General features: G+C 36.4%; 1 long non-coding RNA gene across 1 annotated transcript, besides 4 other annotated features; it reads left to right on the top strand.

Moving 5' to 3' along the window:
• Positions 1–300: 300 nt before the first annotated feature.
• On the top strand, positions 301–5,114 carry LOC107986954 (uncharacterized). Its single transcript, XR_001745984.1, has 4 exons — positions 301–367; positions 770–860; positions 1,698–1,825; positions 3,118–5,114. It is a non-coding gene; the product is annotated as an uncharacterized LOC107986954 (long non-coding RNA).
• Positions 7,361–7,561: a silencer, noted in NCBI's record as "peak7094 fragment used in MPRA reporter construct". NCBI's record gives its function as "represses an SCP1 promoter by STARR-seq MPRAs in K562 erythroleukemia cells {active_cell/tissue: K562}" and the evidence as "EXISTENCE:reporter gene assay evidence [ECO:0000049][PMID:32103011]".
• Positions 19,395–19,829: a transcriptional cis regulatory region, noted in NCBI's record as "candidate enhancer chr8.2191 targeted for multiplex CRISPR interference". NCBI's record gives its function as "positively regulates CA1 gene expression in K562 cells {active_cell/tissue: K562}" and the evidence as "EXISTENCE:mutant phenotype evidence [ECO:0000015][PMID:30612741]".
• Positions 19,501–19,645: an enhancer, noted in NCBI's record as "145 bp enhancer 208 fragment used in the MPRA reporter construct; PK_construct_4197". NCBI's record gives its function as "activates an SV40 promoter by MPRA in K562 cells {active_cell/tissue: K562}" and the evidence as "EXISTENCE:reporter gene assay evidence [ECO:0000049][PMID:23512712]".
• Positions 19,564–19,581: a transcriptional cis regulatory region, noted in NCBI's record as "GATA motif; MPRA enhancer 208 activity is reduced when this motif is scrambled". NCBI's record gives its function as "necessary for full MPRA enhancer 208 activity {active_cell/tissue: K562}" and the evidence as "EXISTENCE:site-directed mutagenesis evidence [ECO:0005528][PMID:23512712]".

Raw genomic sequence — 24,128 nt, 5'->3', positions numbered from 1 at the left:
TTTTAATTTTGTATAATGAAAAGTTTTACACACAAATAAATGTGGAGAGGACAGCATATTGATTGAACCCCTGTGGCCACTCTCAGTAATCTTTGATAGCATCCCTGCTTTCAGGCATAACAAATGTCCCAGGCACATCCTGTGCATTTCTTATTCCAGACCTGAAATCAGGCATTTCTCCAACGAATGTTCATTCTTTTTCCTGGAACATGATATTGAGAGACTCAGCAATATCTGTTAACTTCCTGTTACATAGATGAGGAGTTTGCTCTCTTGTGTCATTCTCTGGCCTTAATAGCTGTATTCTAACTTTGGGTTAAGGCAGTATTAATGGATGACATTATTATGACCACGTAATATAATTCATGTATGTATTATGACTATATTTCTATTCTTACATAATTTTTATCTTACCCTTGAGCTATTTATTGTTCTTTTATTTTTATTTGCTTAGTTTTCTATGTACCTTATTCTGTATAATCAAGTCCCCTAGCTGTTTCTTAATGAACATTTCTTGACAAACACATCAGAAAATCTATAACTCTCATTTTTTATTTTAATTTTTTTTGTTCTGGACATTTCTTTCAGTCGTTCTATTCAATTGTGTACTGGTTATTTTCTTGGCCTATTGTGAAGCTGTTATTCTGAGGCTTTTTCTTTTTCTGTCATCAAGAGAATTCTGTTTGATGTTCTTCTATGTTGAATCTCCTTGTTTTCGTTTTGGAACTTGTGTCTTCCTTTTTCTGGGTTTATTCCCTTATTTTGATAGTGAATACCCTCAAGTAAACTTCTAAGAAAACTACAGATTTGGAGCTTCAAATGCCTTGGTGAAGTTTCTAAGAACTTGGATGTCTAAAAAGGTATTTATTCCACCATTGCTCTTGATTAATAGCTTGGCTGGGTATGGAATGCAAGATTGAAAATCTTTTTCATAAAAAATTTGACAATGTACCCCTATTTGTTTCTAGTTTCTAGTGTTGCCTTAAGACTATGATATTATTCTTATACCTGATCCTTAATAAATGATCTTTTTGTTCTCTCTCAAAATTTTGGAATCTTCTCTTTATTCCTATATTCTGAAATTTCATAATGATTATCCCTGTTTAAATCATTTTGTTGTTGTTGTTCATTATAGTGGGGACTCAGTGGGCCTTTTAATCTGGATTTCAAGTCTTTAAATTCTAGGATGTTTTGTGATTTATTCTTTTGATCATTTCTTTTCATCTGTCTTCTTTCTTCCCTATGGAACTTCAATTATTAGATATTTGACTTCTGTATCACGTTTCTTTATCTTTGAGCCTTTTTGTTGAAATATTTTTCTGCTATAATATTTTTTATTTTCCAAGACCTTATACTTGCTGTGTTCCTTAATTCAATATCCAGTATCTCTCTGAGGATACATATATATATATATATACATACATATATATACACACACACATATGTATGTGTGTGCGTATTTGAATAGTATATCATTGACACGGTTTTACATGGTTTATGTATGTATGTCCATGTAATGTATGTCTGATAAATAGCATATAAATCAAATTATTGTGAATGTTAAAAATGGTTTTAAAAGTATTGTCAAGCATTTCCGATTTAGACAAAGAGAAACCTTCCAGAACTAACTTAATTGGTTAGCTTAATATAAGAAAACATTTTCTTTTCTATCTGTGATAAAAGCTTTGTTCTTTTAGTAACTTGTGGTTCAAAAAGAGCAATTATAAAAATGGCAAAGCCATGACCAATCACAATCTCTCCTTTGATGAGACTGTGGCTGATGCTCTATACCAGTGATCCATGGATTCCCTGCTTGATTACACAGGTATGTTTCAACCCTGCAGTGAATCAGTGTATATTGTTACTGACAGGCTTTAATCTGGAGATATGTGATGATACAGCCTCATAGCTCTCTGTAACTCTCTTAAGGGGCCCACATCAAAGGGAACATTGTGGTTATGGTAATTTTAAAATGTCTATTGGTTTGTACCTAACAGATAATAGGATGTACCCTGTTCCACTCTACGATTTTTTCCTTTTAAATTTCTCTTACTTTCATCTTCTAGCGCATCTGGATGCTCTGCATAATTGAAGAACTACTCTTGTATCCACAATATACTTGATATTTCAGATCTGGCTGCTTTCCAAATGGCAGACTGGTTTTAAAACTTTCAGTAAAATTTAGTTAAATGAACCGCTTTGTGTTGATATAATAATAACGATCTCTGTTAGTGGTCATTGTTTATTGTCTTTATTGAACTCTGTATTTTTTTTTAATTTTCCTCTTCCAACATGTAAATCTCCATTCTCAGATAATTGCTTACCCCTGCTAAAGTAGTTCCCTATATTAATTTTTCCCCATTTAGATTACAAACTTCTTGAGAAATCAGACTTGATTTAAAAAAAAATTGCTGTATTCCACTAAACAAAAGACCTAATTGATACGTTCTGTTTCCCATTTTGCACAACCTAAAGACTTCTTTTCCTTCTTTGGTATATTTTCCTAAACTTCTGAGGCCCCAGTTTTTTAGACAACATAGTGCTCCTTGTATAGTAATGCTGGTGTTCCTCACCATTATGTGAGGATATCACCCATCAGAAATGAGAAGGGTTTAGACAGCTGGGGTTTTCAATGTGTGTGTAAGTGAGTGTGTGTATGTGTGTGTATGTCTGTGAGTACATGTGTGAGTTTGAGTGCATGTGCATGTATTCTGGTCATAGAGGCACAGCTGGAGATTCCATTAACCTCTTAGTCACTTGCACAGTATGCAGAAGTAGAAGCTTGCTTCTGAGTAGTGTCATTTCTACTCATAGGCTCCTCTGCTTCTGCATTCTTTGAGGAAGCTCCAGAGAAACCTGAGTTTGAATCTTAGCTTTACCACTTACTAACTGTGTGCTGTAGTTATCTATAATAGCAAGATAATATTTTTCCCTTATCATAAGAGTGATGTGAAGCCTAAATGAGGTCATGCGTATAAAGTGTTCAGCATGAATGGAACCTTAACAAACCCCCAACACTTTGTTAAAGAAATGACATGCTTTTTCTAGGCTATTGCTCTGGATATAAAGCAATTTTGAGAAAGGTCTTACTTGGACTCTTTTTGGTGTCATTTTCAGAACAGGGCAGGAAATTATCCAACTTGCAAGAGAATGCTAGCTGAAAATCGTCCCATCTTATGGAAAACCGGTAGAAAATCCAGGAGGTGAAATGGAGAACATGTTCAACTGGAGAATTCTATTTCTTATGCATGTCAAATATGTTTCCTTCTCCTGCACTAGCTGTTCCTTCTGCTGGAAGAATATTTATATGACTGGCTAAACTTACTGTTCAGATCTGAGAGTAAATTTGCATTTCTCAGAGAGTTAGTTCCTGACCACCCAACTCAAAGTACTAACACTCTATCTAGTCCTTTTCTTGTTTGTTTTTCATGTTTATTTTATTTCCCACCACTAGAATCTAAGCTTTTTGAGAGCCGGCACTTTGTCCATCTGGGTCACTGAATCCCAATGAGTTATTCACAGATGTTTTTAGTACATAGTAGGTGAAATGCATAGATAATATTTCAACTAAGAAAGTGAACAGAAGAAAGTTGGTCATTGACTTATTACTAGTAGCTCACTACTCTCTATGTATGAAGACATCACTTACTGATGGTTATGAAGCAGATGCTCAATAATTTTTTTTTAATAAACAGGAGGGCAAGGAGCCAATGTCGTTTGTAGTGGAGGGTAGTCATGGACACTGAGAGTATGTTTTAGACACAATTTATCAATGGCCAGCCTCAGGCTGAGATAAAATATAACAGAGTTTGCCAAGGTCTTTCATGCCCAGGCAGTCAGTGCTCACATGTTCCCTGTAACTGCCTGGGTACCTTTCCCTGAGTCATCAGTCCTGTGTCTTAATTCTTTTAGTAGCACCTGCATTCTGCTCCTTTAACCTTCCATCAATCAGCTCTTATATACTGTACATCTCTTTCTCAAGAAGCCTTGTGCAACGCATGGTGATTTCAACAGTGATGAATATTTCCTTCCCTCTGACTTCTTATGAAACCAGGATAATGAAGCAAATTAGAATGTATTTTAACATCACTCTCCCTTGTTTGCTGTCCAGCTAATGAACAGTGGACTGGCTGAAGAAAGACCAGCATGAAGCAGAAAAATTGTTTGGTGAAAAATTCAAGAATGGGCCAATATCCATTAAAAGATTGAAAGAGGAGATGTTTTGGGTCCACCTCCACTGGGGACAGAAATTCCATTCTGCCAACACCCCCTCCATATCCATTGTCTGAAAGAGGCACTGCTGTTGAGTCATAAGTAGGCTCCAGTGGCCCATGTTGACCCTTTGAAATTCCCATGGGACTGTCAATTCTATCTATTCTGGGAGCAGCCAACCATAGCTAATTACAGGCCTGTGGTATTAGTGGAACAAGCTTCAGCTTTTTACATTGGCTTGATGGAGAACTGAGTAGATATAAAAGTGTTACATGTTTTTCTGTAATCATAATAACGTAATCTTGTTTCATAATCATTAATAATTCCTAACATTTATTGAAGAGTTAATATGTGTTGAGTATTTTTGTAAGTGCTTAACATGCAGTTTTTAAAATTTTAACTCCTTTTTACAGAAAAGGTTTACAGAACGCCAGAGGGGTAGGTGATTTTGCCAGAGCTCTTTTAGGTAATAGGAAACAAAGCCATAAATTTGATCCCAGCTAGTTTGACCCCATAGTCCAAGCATTAATCCCTGAACCACACTAGCTCTGGCAAGGGTATAAATGAGCAGTGATTACTAACTGACTTAAAACACAATAGGAATTATCCCCAGTGAATTCCAACATATAAAGGGACACTAATTCTTGCCATAGAAAATCTATTTGATAAGTATGAACAAGAATTCCAAGGTTATCAAAAATAATTTCTAATAGTTTAATTCTTTAAAAGAAATGGTGTATCTCATGGACACAGGAAGGGGAACATCACACTCCGGGGACTGTTGTTGGGTGGGGGGAGCGGGGAGGGAGAGCATTAGGAGATATACCTAATGCTAAATGACAAGTTAATGGGTGCAGCACACCAACGTGGCACATGTATACATATGTAACAAACCTGCACATTGTGCAAATGTACCCTAAAACTTAAAGTATAATAATAATAAAAATAAAATAAAATAAAATAAAATAAAATGTCTCATTCTGATCACTGTCAAAAAAAAAAAAAAAAAAAAAGAAATAGTGTATCTTATTAAGCATAGTCTCTAAGGCAAAGAACTATACTTCGCCAGTGGCCTCAGGAGGGCTATCACAAGTTATTTTTCTAGATGGATTTTCCATCTGTTCCCACTAGATGGTGCATGGGTTACACAAATACCCCCAATCTCTACTTGAGAGGAATTACCCTAAAACAAGAAGAAGAGAAATTGAGCAGAGAAAGGTGAATGTGGAATTTGGACTCAGTTGAAGATAGTAACACCCTAAACAGTGACTTGCTAACTATTGGAGCCTGGGTTTCGAGTTCCATCTTTTTTTTCCTCTCAGAATAAACACTAATAGCTACTTAATATGAGTTAAAGAAAATTTGAATCATAGTCAAAAGCTGTCTGAGAGTTTGTTTTCTCAGAAAACTGTGTTACCCATAGTTGCAGCCAGGAGTGGCATTTTGAAAAAGATATTGAGGAACCAATTCCAATGAGCCAAATAAGTGTGTCCTTTAATTTTAATGTGTGTTTTCTAGAACAAGCCAGAATCTGCAAATTGTTATTTCTTCCTAATTTTCCTCAATTAGTTTGTAATAAAATGGTCATGAATAGCCAGTTACCACTTTCTAGTAATCATACAACCAATTATTATGATATTCTAAAATTCCAGATAGTTCAATGAATAGGACCAGAAAATTCTGGGAAATCCCTTGAGAATAAATTTTAAAACCAATAGTCATTTATTGTATTTGAACTTTCATGTCTTCCTCTACAAAATGAAATAGATCACCAAAAACTCTTTGCAGACTTCTTTATGATCTCTAAAGAAAAAGAGAACAGTATGAGTGCTTATACCCAGAAACACACATATGTACATATACACTCTCCTGTTTGAGTCTAAAAGAGAGTTATGTTCTGTTTCCAGAATCAGGATTATGTGGAAACATTATTATGTTTGCTGAAAGGGTAAGAAAACAAAACTTCATTTATGTACAAGGATGAGGTGGTAATTGGAATTAGGTACTGCACAAGAGAGTACTACCATACATTGTATTTTTCTCAACTCATGTAGAACCTGTTTTGAGGCAAAAGATGGTGATGTGATTATAGGTACTAATGTGCATTTCTAGATTAATGTATTACTTTTCACCATATGAGAAGTTCTTTTCTTAACTTTTTTTCTCAGGTAAATCTATTTGATAACTATTTGTATTTAGTACCTCTAAAGATTGAATAGAGCCATCTCCCAATTAATTAATCGTCAACCTCATCTCAATCCCTTCATAAATGGGTCAGTAAATATGCCAGCCCTGAGTTGTGCTGGATAATCTATAATTTAGTACAGAAGATAGAAAATATTCAGTACAAGTTTTTAGGATATGTAAATGGTGCATAAATGGTTATTCATTTCTCTGAAAAGAGTTTTAGTCCCAGAAAGGAATCAATCCTTAACTGAAAATACAAAGAACATTTGATTGTAGTGTCATCAGTCATTTTATATCAGAATAAATGCTTTATTTCCAAGAAAAATGGTCAATAATAGGCTCTGTATGTCCTTTTAAAGCTGATGTTTCAGGAAAAATGAAAAAGATTATGTAAGGTTTCAGTTAGCACTGAATAGTTTCAGCACCAGGTACCTGGGTGTTGCAGATAGAAGTCAAAGGAAAAAGAGGATCTTTAGATGCTCTGTAGAGCCACTTCTGTATCTTAAATCTTCAAAGAAATAAACTTGGTCTATAAATGAAAATGAGTGTTCCAAGAGCCAGGGCACATCATCCAGTGAATCTGGCTATGTTAGAAATGCTCCCTTTTCTGAGAAAAAAATAAGTGCTGGGTTCTATGACATGGCCAAAAATGGAAGGTTTTTTCTTAGCTTGCAGTCTCTTGGGATCACATATCACTATAACTCACTCAGATCCTCCAAAATGCAGAAGATTGATGTCTACAGTGCTGGGTATTAAACCAGGTAATTAGCTCACTGTGTCCATCATAACTTTATTATAATGCCATTGATTAGGAGTTAGTAACAAATAATGATGACAATTCAAAATTACTTGCATAAGGAAAATATAACTAAAAAACAAACACACAAAACACTGGCTAGTCAAGGAAACACCTAACACACCAATTCTTGAAAAAATCATCTAGTAGATAAGGCTTGCAGTTGTCAGCCTATGGAGAGCAAAAGAAATTTCTGTGAGCTTTCCTAAAATGCTCCTTAGGGTATGCTAATATGGAATTATTTCCTTTCACCTATTTCCTGCAGCCTATTCTTACGCGGAGGAAAAAGAACAGCCCCAGTGATTGAGCGCTTAGATAAGATAGCTAGTCTCTTGCTTACTGTTGGTTAAAAGGAAGTCACGTAGTTGTGAAACCTTCGAACCCTAAAGGAAATGGGTGGTATTTGATGGCATAAAATCCACTGGATGCCTTATCTTCCAAGGTCTGGATGACATCTTTTTAATTTCTGCTGCCTATTTCATTGACTTCCCAGGTCAAATGAGTGAGACCTATTAATAAGATGCTTCACACAACCTAAGTTGTTGAGTGGTCTTGGATTTAGTATCTCTGATTTGATCTTAGGTCTTTTTAAAACAACATTGCTTATTTTGAATAGAGCTTTGATTTTCCAAGTTAAAAACAAAACCCAAGAAATAAGTGAAGTATACCAATGAAATATGTTGAAACCAAATGACTATTATGGAGAGACTGGAATTCTTTTTCACTCCAGTGATATGATTTTGTCAACAGGATTTTATTTTGTAGATAACTATCCTTTTAATATATTAATTTTATAGTTTTAAAATTCATTATCTCTCCTTTCTTTCATTCTTGGCAGTGAACATATTTTTTGTACTTTTTTGTTCTAATTGTAGTAAAGACACCATAAATGGAGTGTACTTTGAATCCTAACAGAAATTGCATTGTTAAACATCATAGATTTCCTCAGCATTATAATCTCTGGAAATAATTGATAAGTTTGTCTTTATCAAACATATATAAGATCATATTTGCTCACAGGATCACATATGACAACACTGTACCCATCATGGAAAGCAACTTTTTTCCCTTTCAGAAACTCTTGCTCTACGAAGTTTGTCATATAAGACATGAGAGATGATCTTCACTGATTAGTCATAATAAACAATAGCAAAAAGATTATATGAGATCCTATGAGTATAGCGTTTGGTGATATGCATATTATTAATATACTTTATATTTGTTGGGTAATTTATTTAGGTATACAGAGCATTGTTTAAATTTATTCTCTCATTCAACCCTCCAAAGATATTCCCTCTTTTACATATGAACAAACTGAGGCTCAGATAAGTGAAGGGATTTTCCCTCAGATACACAGATGGCAAGTGTTAGAACCAAATACAGAATTGTTTTGTCCATATCTCATGTGCAACAATTGGAGTTTGGAAAATAAATATAGGACATAATTTCTGCCTGGAGGGAACATGCAGTTTAGTTGGCAAAATGACTGATACCATGATAACAACTTGTATGGTTGGTAAGTGAGCACAGTCCTGGGACTAGATAGACTTTGCGGCTTATGTAAACCTGTTTCTTTGAGTTGACTAAAGCCATATGTAAAGTATAAAACAGAAAATCTTTGGACTGATCAAAGATGCTGTTAGAGACATTTGTTGTCAAAGGATCTAAGACAATCTGTGATACAAAATGTCTTTTAGTCTCAATCTGTGATATAAAATGTCTTTTAGTCTAGACCTACCTCTATGCAAACATGTAACATCCATAATACCATGTGTTTCTCCAGCAGCCATGCAACACGCAATGTAACTACAAAGAGGAAGCCAGACTGTGTCTTTGAGACATGCATTCCGTTTTGCCTCCTAGATAGGTTTCTAGTAGGACCAATAAGTGATGCATGCACGGTATATTGATTAAACATGTTACTGCAAGTGACCTCAGGTTTTGGCCTATGTAAAACCACTAGTTGGTGGTTAATATTCAGCTGGGCTGTAAACTAGAGCACAAAAGTGGGAACAGGGTTTGCAATCTGTTAATGTTTTCTTAAAATCTTGTTAAGTAAGCGCTAAGTTCATCATTAATGGGAGCAACATAAATTGGGTGTTATGATTAGCAGTACAACTCTGTACCTTTGTAAAAGGTTATTTTTTATGTCTTTTTGTTCATTAACATAATTGTGTGTTTTGAATAATTATAGCCAAGGGGGGAAACTGAGAATGGCAGTTTAGTCAAACAGAAATGTAAGTACTCCAAATAAGACATGTAACTAATTAGAATACTATTGAGGTAGTTAAGTTTCTTTGGTGGGAAAAGAGATAGGGACAATTTAAATATAACTCAGTATCTTACTCTTTATGGAGATGATGTACATTTATGCACATTCACAGAGTTTGGCACCTAGTAGGAATTCAAAAAATGTGCTAGCTTTTATGAAATAGTCACTCTGTTCATCGAAGAATGTAAGTCCTTCTCTGCTCCTGAAGCCTTCCTTCCATACTTCCATGGAGCCCTCATCACACCATAGGCTGATGTTTACCTGACTTGTCCCATCCTCCACACTTGGGCTTTTTAAGGACAAGACCCACATTTTACATACTTATCTTTCTCTTTTAGGTAATTAGCATGTCATCTGTCAGATATTATGTACTTAATAAATATTTGTTAAATGTTACAGTAATGCTTGCATTTTCATTTTTACTGTTTATTAAATTTCATATTGACTACCTGATTTCAGCTAATCAAAGTTAAAATTGAATGTTTATAACTTTTCTAAATTTTTTTACCAGACAACTTAGCATACTTCAAGATTCCTTCTACTTCTTGCCCATCGACTGCCCCTTTAATCAGTAAACTCCCTAGATTCTAACTCTTTAATAATTAAATACTTTGCCCCCTTTTTCTATATTTCCACAGCCAGTTCTTTAGTTCATGCCAACACTATTTCTTCCTTGGATAGCTGCTGCAGCCTTCAAAACAGCCTCCCTACCTCTATCTAGCCTGATTCCCCTTCAGTTCATATTTCAAACTGAAGTTAGGGGCCATTCTTGAACAAATGTCTGATCATGACACTGCCCTTCTTAATTAACTCAGTGAGGTCTTCATAGCTTTTAGTAAAATTCAGACTCCTCAGTTAAGTACACATGTCCTTTCAGACCTCAAACCCTACCTGTTCTCCTTCTCCATTTTATTCCAGTTGTATTAAACTATTTATTGTCTCTTAGCTTGGAGCCTTTATCCTTCCCTCTGCCTGAAAGACCTTGCCTCTACCTTCACCTCTTCTTCCCCTCACTAAATTCAATTCATTTCTCAAGGTTCAATGTAAACCTTGTCTCCTCTAAAAAAAGTTTTCTGGATCTCCTCAGGAAGATAGGAGACAATCTTTCTCTGTACTTAGTGGATTCCCATTGCATTCTCTGTGTTGGTACATAACAGATTCTCAATATTGTATGCATACCCATAGGATGTGAACATATAGGTGTTAAATTTTTTTTAAATACAGTTCTAGCTACTTCAATTCAAACAGACATTCTCATATGGTTCAAGACTCCCTGGTAAGGATGGGCCAAGCTGGGCATATAGTGTAAGAATTAAACGAATGTCCATTGGCTTCTGTTAAAGTAACTTATTGAAGTTGTGATAGAACTAAAGGCTGTGAATAACACTCATTGGTAAAAGCAGATTTTAAACCTGATTTATATTGTCTAGTTTAGATGCAAGGTGAATAAGAAAACCAAGAAAATGCTGTATCTTCTTTTGAAGGTCCCATCATATATTATTTTCTACTTTAAGTTGGTTTCATTGAATGTTCAGTAGCTACATATGCATATCTATGGGATATATGTAAATCACAAGTAATGATTCAACAAATCCCATGTACCCCTACTCAATGTAACTGAAAGAATACTGTATTACCTTTGAAACCCTGTGGGTCTCTCCTTAAGCCCATTTTCTTCCCTCTCCTCAGAGGGATCACTATATTGAATTTTCATAAGGTTCCTATATTTCTTTATAGTTTACCACCTGCTGGTTTTGCGTGGTTTTGTACTTTTTATAGAAGTCATATTATATGTATTTTTCTATGTCCAGTTTTTTTTTTACTCAGTATAATATTCCTATGATATAACCATGTTGTTTTATGTAGCTGTAATTCACTTCACTTCTGTAGCATATTCTATTATTTGAATATACCAGAGTTTAAAAAAAGAATACATTCTATGGTTGATAAATCTTTTTGTTGTTCCATTTTTTTGCTATTATATATGATGCTTCTGTGAACTTGTCTAGCATATCTCCTGGTATAGGAGTAGACATGCTTATTTTTTATACGTTTGATACAACTCTACAGAAAATTACACCATACTGGGGCAAGCAATTATTCCTCATAATATTGTACTTACATGATAATGCTGCACGGTTACACATCACTTGGTTGTTAGGATTTGTTGACCATTATAAGCTGGAATAGTTTCCATCCATTTCTACCTGCCATTACTGGCACTACACACGTTCCAGAAACCCTTGTGTTTAAAGCAATTGCCATGCTTAACTATATATTATAGTAACTTATTGATATCTCTGTCTCCCCAATGAGACTGGAAGTTTGGGGATAAGTTCAGTAGCTCTCTTATCTTGATATGCTTTTTGCCCTAGTGTCTAGCTCATATTAGGTGTTTAGTAATTATATTTGAGTGAGCAAGTAGTAGGCACTCCATAAATATTGAAAGATAATAGAATAAACGGTGTTTACCAAATATCTGTATTATGTTGATCTATGATTTTTTTGTCACAAGTGTTCTATATATATTTCCTCTCCCACCTGCTCCTTTAAAAGATGAACCAATGAAGAATAGGGTCTATAGCCACACATCCACTTTGCTTACAGCATTTGGATACAGCACATACTTAGAAACTTTTTCTTCACAGACAACTTGACAATACAAATGCAATGTAACTATACTTAATAAAAACTGCAGGGGACTGGAAATTATAGTAATATACTAATATTTAAATATCCTGTTGCCCACATTATTTTTCCAAACTGAAGTGCTCATCTTGCTCTGAATTTGGTCATCTCTCCTTATCCATCCCAATCCTTCTTATCTCTACCAAACGTAACTTAACGTGCAATGATATTTTAAACACTTCCTTGAAGTCTCTCAAGTTTTTCCTTATCTTAGCAGATGAAACAAAGTCCTGAAAACTTCTCATATTGGATTATGTTGAACAATCTCCGGAGCTGCTCAAGTTCACCTCCCATAGCAACACATTGCATTTTGGGTCCTCAGACCATCTGCATCTGAATCATCCGTGGTGCCTGTTTAAACCTGACCTACTGAGTCAGCATTGCTGAGGCTAGGATCCAGAAATGTGTGATTTCAGCAATCTCCTCTGGTAATTCTTATGCCCATTAAATCCTAACAACTCACTCTCTTATCGAGTAATAAATTCAGTGGGTGGGAGAAGCAGTGACATAGGGGAACACATTCTGATAGAAAATGAGACAAAAACATTCTAAAGAGATTTAGAATACTTTAGAAATATATATTTATCCATAAATTTAAGCCCCAGATTTTAGGACAAATGTGTGGTAATCTTTATGAGTGTATCACAGTTTGACAGATCCATCCCAATCTCTTATTCTCTGTCTCTCTCACTGTGCAATTTTCCAGCTTTGTCATGCTTCCCAGCCCTCTACCTGCCCTCTTCCTGGCACCTGATTCCATCTTTTCTTTAACAGGGAACAATGAGGTTACCAGGGACACTCCCTCAGCTTCTTGCCCCTGTTCTGTGACACTTGGTGGCACTTCATTCATCCTTCCCCACACCAGTTCATCTCGGAAGAAGGACTGCCTCCATCCCCACCTGAGGCCAGTCCTCTCCACTGTGCTCTGCGCTTCTCATCTCCACCGTTTCCCAGGCCAAGCTTCATCAGTTTCCCATCTCCTTCTCTTTTGGCTATTCTCCTCACCATACAGACACCCTCATGACTCTTTCATATTCCCCATCTTAGAAAACGGAGAGAAAAAAAACCTTCATCTGGTCATTGTTCATCTGGTTATCACTCCACATTTTTTCTTTTTCTTTTGATTTGAGACAGGGTCTTGCTCTGTCATCCAGGCTGGAGTGCAGTTGTGTGTTCATGGCTCACTGCAGCCTCAGCCTCCTGGGCTCAAGTGATCCTCTTGCCTCAGCCTCCCACGTATCTGGGATTACAGGTGCATGACAGCACACCTGACTTTTTTTTTTTTTAACTTTTTGTAGAGATGGGTCTCCCTATGTTGCCCACGCTAGTCTTGAACTCCTGAGCTCAAGCAATCCTCTGGCCTCAGCCTCCCAAAGTGTTAGCATTACAGGCATGAACCACTATGCCCAGCCTAGGCTTACTGGGCCCCCTCCCTCTCTTCTCCTTTCTCCACACTTCTCATTATCATTAATGCAATCCTCACAATGCCATCAGCATATCTTTAGAAAACAAAACATGATTATGGCATTCCTCAAAAATTTTCAGTGCTTTCATATGCCCCCGGGATAAATATATAAACTCCTTTTCTTGAAACACAAGGTCTTCCCGTGAGTAAAGTCTTCCTTCCTTCTCCAGTTTCTTCTGCCACTTCCTTCTTTTATTTTACACCTCAGCTGTACTGCAACATGTCACATCTCCATTTTTCTCAACTTTGCCAACTGCTTGGAACACCATCTCCCCCGCACCCCATTCTGCTCACACACCCTATTGCTTTTCTGCTTAGCAGTCTCTCACTCATTCTCCAGCTCTCAGACCCATTGTTACCTCTCTTGTTACTCCTTCCCTGATTCTTACAGCGGACTTAGGTTCCTTTGCTTTGTTCCCTGATCCCTGCCCCCGAGGTTTGCGTATATCTTTATTAAACCAAATTTCTTGTCATATGAAAATTGTTTCATACAACAAACAAAAGTGTGGGTTTGCATGTCTATCTTCCGTCAAGACTGTAGACTTTTAGAGTAGGGTATTGCTTGGCATCTGATAGTAACTTAAGACATATTTGTTGAATAAATAAATGCAGGAATGGGTAAATGAATTTGATGGATATGACTATAAAATTATCTTCATAAAATCAGAAAAATTTTTTAAAACTCTGCAATCTGGAGATCTGTTGAAACGACTAATATTCCATGCAGGTCATGGAGGTAAAGCAGAAATAAAAAGAACATAAAGTCCCAAGTATTCAGTCCTGTTTCTCACAGGCACATAAAACAGATGTCCTAATACTTTCTTCCCCCTGCTTTCTGTTTTAAGAAACAAAGGGACAGGACAACATAACCCACAGGAAATGTTCCATGACATGAAAGAATATCATGAAAGCTGCTATACAGCTGGTGAGATGAATGAAAAATAAACTTAGTGATTTAATATAAACTGTCACTTGCTTCTGCAGAAAAGAAACATTGTGCAGGTGCACGCATCCTGGTGAAACCCACATGGGGTTCTGAAAACAGGATCTCTATCTGATTCGTCTTTGCTTTCTTGGCGCTGCCGAACACAGGCCGTACGCGCAGTAGGTGTTTGTTAAATGAAAGAGGAAAGAAGAAATCTGATCAATTTTTTAAGAGGCATTGAACAAGTAATTTGAAGGGTGCTGAATATTATCCTAATCTCTCGATTATGGTACTTAAGTCAAACGAATGCTGCCGCAAGTTCTTTTACTGCAAAAATAAGCAGTCAATAAAAAGGAAAATATAATGTCTGCAGATGCCATTAAGCATAAGAAGGGAAAATGAATCGAAGACAACTCATCTCTCTGGTTACTGAAGGTATTAAAAAATGAGGCTTGTTGTTTGGTTAGAAACAGCATGTTCTTGAATCACGTGCCCGCTGCCTTGCTCAGTGTTTTTAACTGCAGCTTTTAAACACTGTAGCTTGGGACGGAAGGGTGGGAGTAACTGAAGCATTCATCTCACGTGTTCTACACACAGCTTGTCTGTTTTCAGCACCTAACTCAGGTGTACTTCTTTCTTTTTGCCTAAGTCTTTCCCTTATCCAACTACCTCTCCAATTCCTCTCAAAGTCTGTTCTTATTCATTTATTTGAAAGATATTCATTGAACACCCACTCTGTGCCAGGCACTATTCCAGGTGCTGGGGAGACAGCAGGATTCTCTGCCATTGTTCTCATGGAGGCTGTGGTCTAATCCTGTAAAATCAATGACAAACAAGTAATGCATGCTATGCCAGGTGGGGATAAGAATTACGAGGGGGGCTGGAGGAGGGAGAGCTCTTTCAGACTGGGTGGTCAGAAAATGCATCTCTGAAGAGGCAGCATTTCCTTTCATTTCAGTCAATTTTTCACTTGCACCCATGTGATTGTCACAGGGCCTACCTTAGGTGAGTCTGAGGCTGATAGCTGTTGTGGGCTTGGTCCTGCTGGATTATTTTCTGTTTTTCTTATTGTCCCCTGGCTGTTGTGTGCCCTGTACAATTCTACAGAAAAAGCAATTCTCTTCCCATGCCTTCACTACTTTTTGAAGCTGCAAAAAAATTTAAAGAACAATAGCCAAGAGTCTGAAGGCCCCAGTGTACACACACACACACACACACACACACACACACACACTTTTTTATGCCAGTTAAGTAAATAGTATGAATATTAAATGAGATAATGCTTTAAAATATTTTGTGCCAGTACCTGATACATAGTAAATACTCAAAAAACACTGTTACATTATTATGATTACTTTTATTATTATTTCATAGACACTTGTAAAGATATTGCTGGATCTTGCATTCTTTGATACGCTCCCATTTAGACATCACATTATCGAAGGTTTGCTGGGTGCAGAACTATAGTAGGTGCACAGGTCCTAGGGAAGACAGAGTTCTCTCCCTTTTTTGCTTAAGAGACAGAGCACACACACCACCTATTCAACTATTGAAAAACACTTCCATTTACAAAGCAGCCTAAGCAGAAGCACAAATTAACACATCCAAATTGAAAACCCAATTCTTTAGGGAAGGATGATTAAAATGTCACCTACTAGATGATTTCATCTTTTAATCATAGTGTTCCCTCTTAGAGAGAAGCATAAAACCCTGGAAGCCCAGTAGGAGAGGGTTCTATTATTTACCACTTTGAAAATGAAGAGAGAATCTGCCTGCTGGAGAGGGGAGAAGCGCTCAGGGAAATTTTTGTTAATTAAAAGTAATTCTAACCCACTTGCCATATAACTCTACTTTCTTTTTGGTTTGACTCTTGTAATTTCATTTGGGGTAGTTCATTACAGACGGAAGAAAATGAGGTTAGCCTTTAGGATTCAAATATCTGAACTTCATATGCCAACTATATTCTAGAGTTTTCAACATAGTTTTGAGAAATGCTGGTATGGTGAACCCATGAAGCAGGGTGGCTATATTCAAATAGATCCATTCCAAAAATTCTGCCAATTAATTTCTGAAGCTATGGGCATGACTTTAATTTGTAATTTAATTTCTTCCCAATACCTATGTTCCAGGTTACTGTTGCTTTATAACTAACCTAAACCTTAGTGACCTAAAACACACAAGTATTTTCTTATCTTTATAGTTTCTGTGAACCAGCTCCTGGGAAGGAAGGTCTTGGCTGGGGCGTTTGGGCACATGATGCTCATGTAGTTGTACACTTAGCTGACCTGGAAAAGCAGGGGCTGGGGCCGGTAGGGGCTCCCTTGATGTCAGGACTTCTTCACGTGATCTCTCTGGGGATGTTAGTTTGGGCTTCCTTCTAGCATGGCTGCCTTGGGGCAGCTGAACTGCTTCTAGGGCACTCCAGCCTCCTGCACGAGCATTCCAGCTCCCAGGGCAGGAGCTGACCTAGCCTCAGAGGTCACGCACCATCACTCTGCTTCATCCCAGTGCTTAAGAGTGAGTCACAAGTTTGCCCAAATTCAGGATGGAAGGGGGAGCTGCAAGGTCTTGGAGGAGCATTTGGGATAGGGGATCATGTTGTGGCTGTCCTTGGAAAATACAGTCTGCTGCAGCCTACTAATCGCAGGTTGCAGGAGAAGGTCTACGCCAGAAGACTGCCAAATTTCTCAGGAAATGAAAATGTGATTTCTAGCATTTTAGTGAGAAACTGGAAATGAGAAGTCAGGAGAGCCTAAATATTAGCTAACTAAATCTAAAAGGGGGAAAAAAACACAAACGTTTTGTTGCCTTTTTTTTTCATATTGGGATAAAAACACCGTAGTTATTTTTAACAAAATTAAAGTGTGATTTTTTCCTTTAGTACTTCCATATAATTATTCTGTGATGAAAAATAATGATCCCAGATCTCTTTAATAACTTCACCATTTCAAACCCTAACAAAAAACTTAAAAAATGTTGATACCGATAAGTTTTTTCCTGCTGCCTGAAAGAAGTAGCAAAAACTCAAACATCTTATCTCACAGTCACAGGAGAAATGTGATAAAGACCTGTGCAAACGTTATGTGATACCACTTAGTGCTGAAACCAGGGCTTGAGTCCCTGGTTTACACCTCCTACCTTGCTATTTTAAAAATGGTTTGGTTCTGGTTGGGCTTATTAGGAATGTAATATAAACCACGTGGTCTTGAATTATAAATTAATTTGAACCAACTTTCAGGTGTGGGATTCTGTGAGCTGAGAAGAAAATTATAATTCAGAATTACTCATTCTTTTTTTACCCTGTGTAAATATTTTAGCCCCTACCAACAGTAATTATATTCAAGATGACTAAGAAAACATGATGCTGTGTAATTTGGCTTTATTAATGGATGGCCATTAACATATTCCTGATCTTGACTTGGGGGGAATTACTGTTGTTACCTATTGCATCCATTATGATTTTGCACATGAACATTCCATCATGTGTATATGGGAGAAGGCAAACTCTCCCACAACAAAAGATTCCCCTTAGATTCATATCAGACCCAAATTTGCTTCCAATGTGGAGCATAATATTCACCTCCAGCTTTTTTTCTACTTTAGTTTTTTGAGTTTTAAAGTTTTTATGAGGTAAATGTACATATATAATTTACCATCTTTACCATTTTCAAGTGTATAGTTCAGTGTCATAAATACATTTATATTCTTCTTTTCCCCTCATCTCCCTTCTTCCTCCCAGTGTGGATTTAAATTCTGTGTGTGTGAGTGTGTGTGTGTGTGTGTGTGTGAGTGTGTGTGTGTGTTTGTCCATGTGTGTATGTGCATGTGTTGGGTGAAGGTAAATGTTTCAAGTGGGTACAAAAATAGGCAGAGGCTGGGCACGGTGGCTCACGCCTGTAATCACCGCGCTTTGAGAGGTGGAGGTGGGCAGATCACTTGAGGCCAGGAGTTTGAGACCAGCTTGGCCAACCTGGTGAAACCCTGTCTCTACTAAAAATACAAAAATTAGCCAGGCACAGTGGCTCACGCTTGTAATCCCAGCTAGTTGGGGTGCTGAAGAAGGAGAATCGCTTGAACCAGGGAGGCGGAGGTTGCAGTGAGAACAGATGGTGTCACTGCACTCCAGCCTGGGTGACAGAGCAAGACTGTCTCAAAAAAAAAAAAAAAAAAAAAGTAGATAGGCATTTTAGCAGGACTAGAGAAAGGATACACTCCAAATGAATGGAACAAGCTGGTCCTTATTTGTGGGATAAGTACCCTGGACTGCGTGGCTGTCTCCAGAGTCTGTGCAGCAGCAGCAAATAACTCCAGTGGGAAAGGCATGTGTCTCAGCTCACCAAACTAGGACTACGCATCTAATTAGCAGAACGTTTAATAACTCCCCACCCTCTTTTAAACAAAAACCCTAGGAGTTTCCTCCAGTGGCCTGCCGCTGACAGTGGCTACATGGACTTCTCTGAATGTTCACATTGATATAGCTCTTAGCACAGATGGTTTGTAGAATCCTTTTTTCTGGAAGCCAATACTGTCAGACATTTTCTCAAAAAGAAAGTGAGAATATCAACAGCAGTAATTTCTTCATTTTACCTTATTTTAACTAAATTGTATGTAGACCCAGACAATTTTTTTTCAGATCTGCTTACAGTTAGAGTGTCAAGGCAGACTGGGAAGCAGTTTGTTCTCTTGTCAAAAGGCAGTTAGGTAAATGCAGCTGAAACCTTAAACAGCTCTTTAATTACTACTGAATAAATTAAGCATGAGTGGCAGCCTGGCATTGGACCATTCTGGGTTAGTCTGACATGTTGCAAATGTCTTCAGGTTGAACTTAAGGATAATACCGTACTTCATCAAATACTGCCAACAGTTTCAAAACCAGAAATCACTTGTAGGGCTCCACTTCCTCCAAATAGCTCCATCTTCATTTGATCCAGGAAAGAAGTTGGCTTTCTGTAACTGTTACTCAGACCTCAAATGCACAGAAAATAAGCCAGCTTGACAACAGAGGAAGAATGACAAATGTTATCTTTGGAGACCAGATCTGAAGTGCTAACGTAGGATAGCAGGGAATGGAATTTGCAGAAGAGTTAAGTGACCAACATTACGGTGAATAATGGGAAATGATGTCAAGGATGTTTCTGTCTAACTTCAGAAGACTCAGTTACACAGACATTCAGGATGTTTGCACATTTCCAGGGAGAACAAGCAAAATTAGAACACTCAAGTCAAAGAAGCATCTAAAACCTGATGACTCACTTTCTCTTTTGCTTAAATAAGAGCTTCAAACACAAATATACAGATTCAATACATCTAAATACGGTTCTAAGAAGGCAAAACAAGTTCTCAAATAATGTAACAGAAAAGGGGTGAGTGGCAATTAACAAATTCTTAAAGATCTTCCTATTTAAGAAAAGATTCTACTGATTTAGTCATCTAGAATAGCCATTAAAAGTGTAGACTTGGTAGTGAAATTGCTGTGTTCAACATAAAGACTGTGTCATTTAGCAGGAGTGTGCCTTTGGGCAGGTTACTTACATTTTGTTTATCTCAGTTTCCTTATCTGTAAAATGGGAACACTCATAGTGTCTATCTCTCTACTAATACGATACTCTATATTTATCTAGATAATACTAATACTATAGTGTCTAGATAATGTGTGCAGAGAAAGTGCCTGGTACACGGTGACTACTCAATAAATGTTAGGAATTATAATGATGATGATGATGATGATGATGATGATGATAAGTACCTTTTGAAAAACTAACTTCCTTAGGATGCCAGTACCTGTAATCCTGGATGATTCCAAATTTTCTGTATATCAAGAAAATACTCACCTTTACCATAACATCAAGAAAAATAAAATACTTAGTAATAAAGTTAAGCAAGGAGTTAAAAGACCTACACACTAAAAATGATAAAACATTGATGAAAGAAATTGAAGAGTACACAAATAAATGGAAAAATATCCTGTGTTCATGCTTTGGGAGAATCAATATCATTAAAATGTTCATACCATCCAAAGCAATATTCAGATTCAACACAATTCCTAAGAAAATTCCAATGACATTCTTCACAGAAATAGAGAAAACAATCCATTTGTATGGAACCACAAAAAAAAATGTGTATGGAACCACAAAAATCCCCAAATAGCCCAAGTAATATTGCCAAAGGAAAGCACAGTTGAAGGCATCATACTGACTGACTTAAAATTATATTACAAAGTGATAGTAATCAAAACAGTATGGTATGGGCACAAAAAAGGAAATGCAGGCTAATGGAACAAAATTGAGTCCAGAAATAAATCCAAACTTGTGGTCAACTAATTTTTGACAAGGGCACCAAGAAGACACAATGGATAAAAGGTAGTCTCTTCAGTAAATTATGCTGGGAAAGCTGGATTTCCACAGGCAAAAGAATGAAGTCAGACCTCTATCTTGCACCATACATAAAAATCAACTCAAAATGGATAAAAGGCCTAAATGCAAGACCTGAAAGCATAAAACTCCTAGAAGAGAACATGGAGGAGAAGTTCCTTGATGTTACCCTTGACAATGATTTTTTGAATATCACACCAAAAGCACTAGCTACAGAAGGAAAAATAAATAAGTGGGATTATATCAAACTAAAAAGCTTAAACACAGCAGAGAAAGAAATCAACAAAATGAAAAGGTAACCTATAGACTGGGAAAAATATTTTCAAACCACATATCTGATAAGGGATTAATATCCAACATTTATAAAGAACTCTCACAACCCAATAGCAGAAAAACAAATAAACCTACTAAAAAATGAGCTAAAAACCTATGCAAATATTGATCCAAAGAAGACACAAAAATGGCCAAACAATATATAAAAAGGTGCTAAACATCATTAACAATAAGGGAAATGCAAATTAAAACTACTATGAGATATCACCTCACATCTGTTAGGATGGGCATTATGAAAAAGACAAGAGATAACAAATACTGGTGAGGATGTGGAGAAATGGAAACCCTAGTACACTGTTGGTCGGAAAGTAGTCATTATGAAAAACAGTGTGGGGGTTTCTAAAGAAATTAAAAATAGAACTACAATATGACCCAGAAATCTCTTTTCTGGGTATATACCCAAAGGGGATGAGATCATCACCTTGTAAAGGTATCTACGTCCTTCAATGTTCATTGCAGCATTATTCACAATAGCCAAGATATGAAAACAACCTAAGTGCCTGTTGACAGATGAATGGATAAAGAAACTGGTATAAATATACAATGGAATATTATTACTCAGCCTTAAAAAAGGAGATCCTGCCACTTGCCACAATATGGATGAAACTGAAGGACATTATGCTAAGTGAAATAAGCCAGACAAAGAAAGACAAATACTGCATTATCTCACTTATATGTGATATGTTTAAAAATGTCAAATATACAGAGAAAGAAAATAAAACAGTGGTTACCAGAGGCAGTGGGGAGCCAGGGGAATGGAAGAGGAAATGGGGCTATGAAGAATGAATGAGTTAGAGATCTAATGTACAACATGAAGACTGTAGTAACTAAAATTCTATTTTATTAGGAATCTTTGTTAAATAAGATTTTAGCTCTTACTGTGTTCTTGTCACAATAAAAAGTAACTGTATGAGTTGCTAGATATATTAATTTGCTTTGCTATAAGTAATCATTTTACTATCTATATGTATCTCATAACATCATGTTGTAAACCCCAAATATACACAATAAATTTATTTTTTAAATATTTTGTGTAACAGATTTAGTTTTGATACTCTTATGACTTTAAAACAATGACAGGAACTATACTGTATGGTTTTGTTTTTTAAATGAAGCAGGCTATTGTCTAAATGTATTAAAGCCAGCCAAAAGATTGACCATATGTGAAAACCTCAGGCAACAGCTCAAGGTGAAAGACAGAAAATATGGGACTATAATCCTGCAATGTTTCTAAACACAAAGCAGGCATAGCACAGATATGCAAATGAAGTAAAAAATAGGAATCATCATTGCTAGTCTTGAAGGCTTTCTGTCCCAAATGGAGACTCAAGGACAAGGAAACCAAAATGCTTTACTGTAATGCTCCAGAGACTCATTTAGCAAACAAGGGTATGATTATAGTTTATTTCTTTCTTGGAAATATTTCACATTCATCTTTCCCCTCCAAACACTTTGACCCTACCCTAGCTGGCTTCTTTTCCTTTCATGCCAGATTGCTGCCACAATCTAACTGTTTACCCTTATGTAAGACTATTCCTATCATAACCCTAATACTAACTGAAACCTTGCTTTAAGGAAGCTTCTGAAACAATTAGCAAAATCTTTCTAAACCCAAATCTTTCATCTCATTCTTCCATTTAAGATTCTTCATTACTTTTTACATTAAATCTAAGATTCACTTTCTAGTTTTCGATATTGCAAAGAAACTTTTTTCTTGATGGAAATTATATCTACATTGCTTTTAACATCTAGTTAGAGAATTATATATTGTACAAAAAAGTGACATTTATAAATTCAAAGTAGTTTAAATACAAGTTCCAACAAGAAAATTATAGAATGTTATAGGCTAACTGCAAAATTCATCTGGAAAATAAAACATGAAAGAATAATCAAAAAATTATTTTTTAACATAAGAGGGAATTTGATCTTTCATATATTGAAGCATGTACTTAAGTTATAATAATCAAAACTGCCTTACATTCCTTAAAAAATAGAACAATAGGGTGAACCCAATAGAGAGTTCAGAAACAGAGTAATGTATACTTTGAAATTTAGTAATGATAAAGGCAGTATCTCATATCAGAGTGAAAAGTACAAACTACTCAGTAAATAATTTTGTGCCAACTAATTTTTCATTTGAGGAAAAAAGGTAAATTATTTAAATTACACTATGTACAAAAGTGAACTCCAGCTGGATTAAAAAGTTAAATAAAAATTGTTTTAAAATAATTTCAACTTTTATTTTAGATTCAGGGACTACAAGTGCGGGCTTGTTACATGGGTATATTGCATGATACTGAGGTTTGGGGTACAAACCTCATGATCCTGTCAGCCAGGGAGTAAGCATAGTACTGATAGGTAATTTTTCAGTCCATGCCCCCCTCCCTCCTTCTCCACTCTAGTAGTACTAAATGTCTATTGTTCCCATCTTTATCTCCATGTGTACTCAGTGTTTAACTCCCATTTAAAAGTGAGGATGTGTGGTATTTGGCTTTCTGTTCATGCATTAATTCACTTAGGATAAATGCCTCCAGCTGCACCCATGTTACTTCAAAGGGCATGATTTTACTCTTTTTTAATGGCTGCATAGTATTCCATGGTGTATATGTATCACATTTTCTTTATCCAATCCACCATTCATAGGCATCTAAGTTGATTCTATGTCTTTACTATTGTGGATAGCACTGTGATGAACATACAAGTGCATATGTATATCTTTGGATATATACCTAGTAATGAGATTGCTGGGCTAAATGTTAATTTGGTTTTAAGCACTGAGAAATCTCCAAACTGCTTTCCACAGTGGCTGAGCTAATTTACATTCCCACCAGCAGTGTATAAGCCTCCTTTTCTCTGCAGGCTCACCAGCATTTGTTATT

This window comes from Homo sapiens, chromosome 8 (genome assembly GCF_000001405.40).
Source record: "Homo sapiens chromosome 8, GRCh38.p14 Primary Assembly".
In the NCBI taxonomy this organism is placed as follows: Eukaryota; Metazoa; Chordata; class Mammalia; order Primates; family Hominidae; genus Homo; species Homo sapiens.
This window is presented reverse-complemented; position numbering and strand designations above follow the sequence as displayed.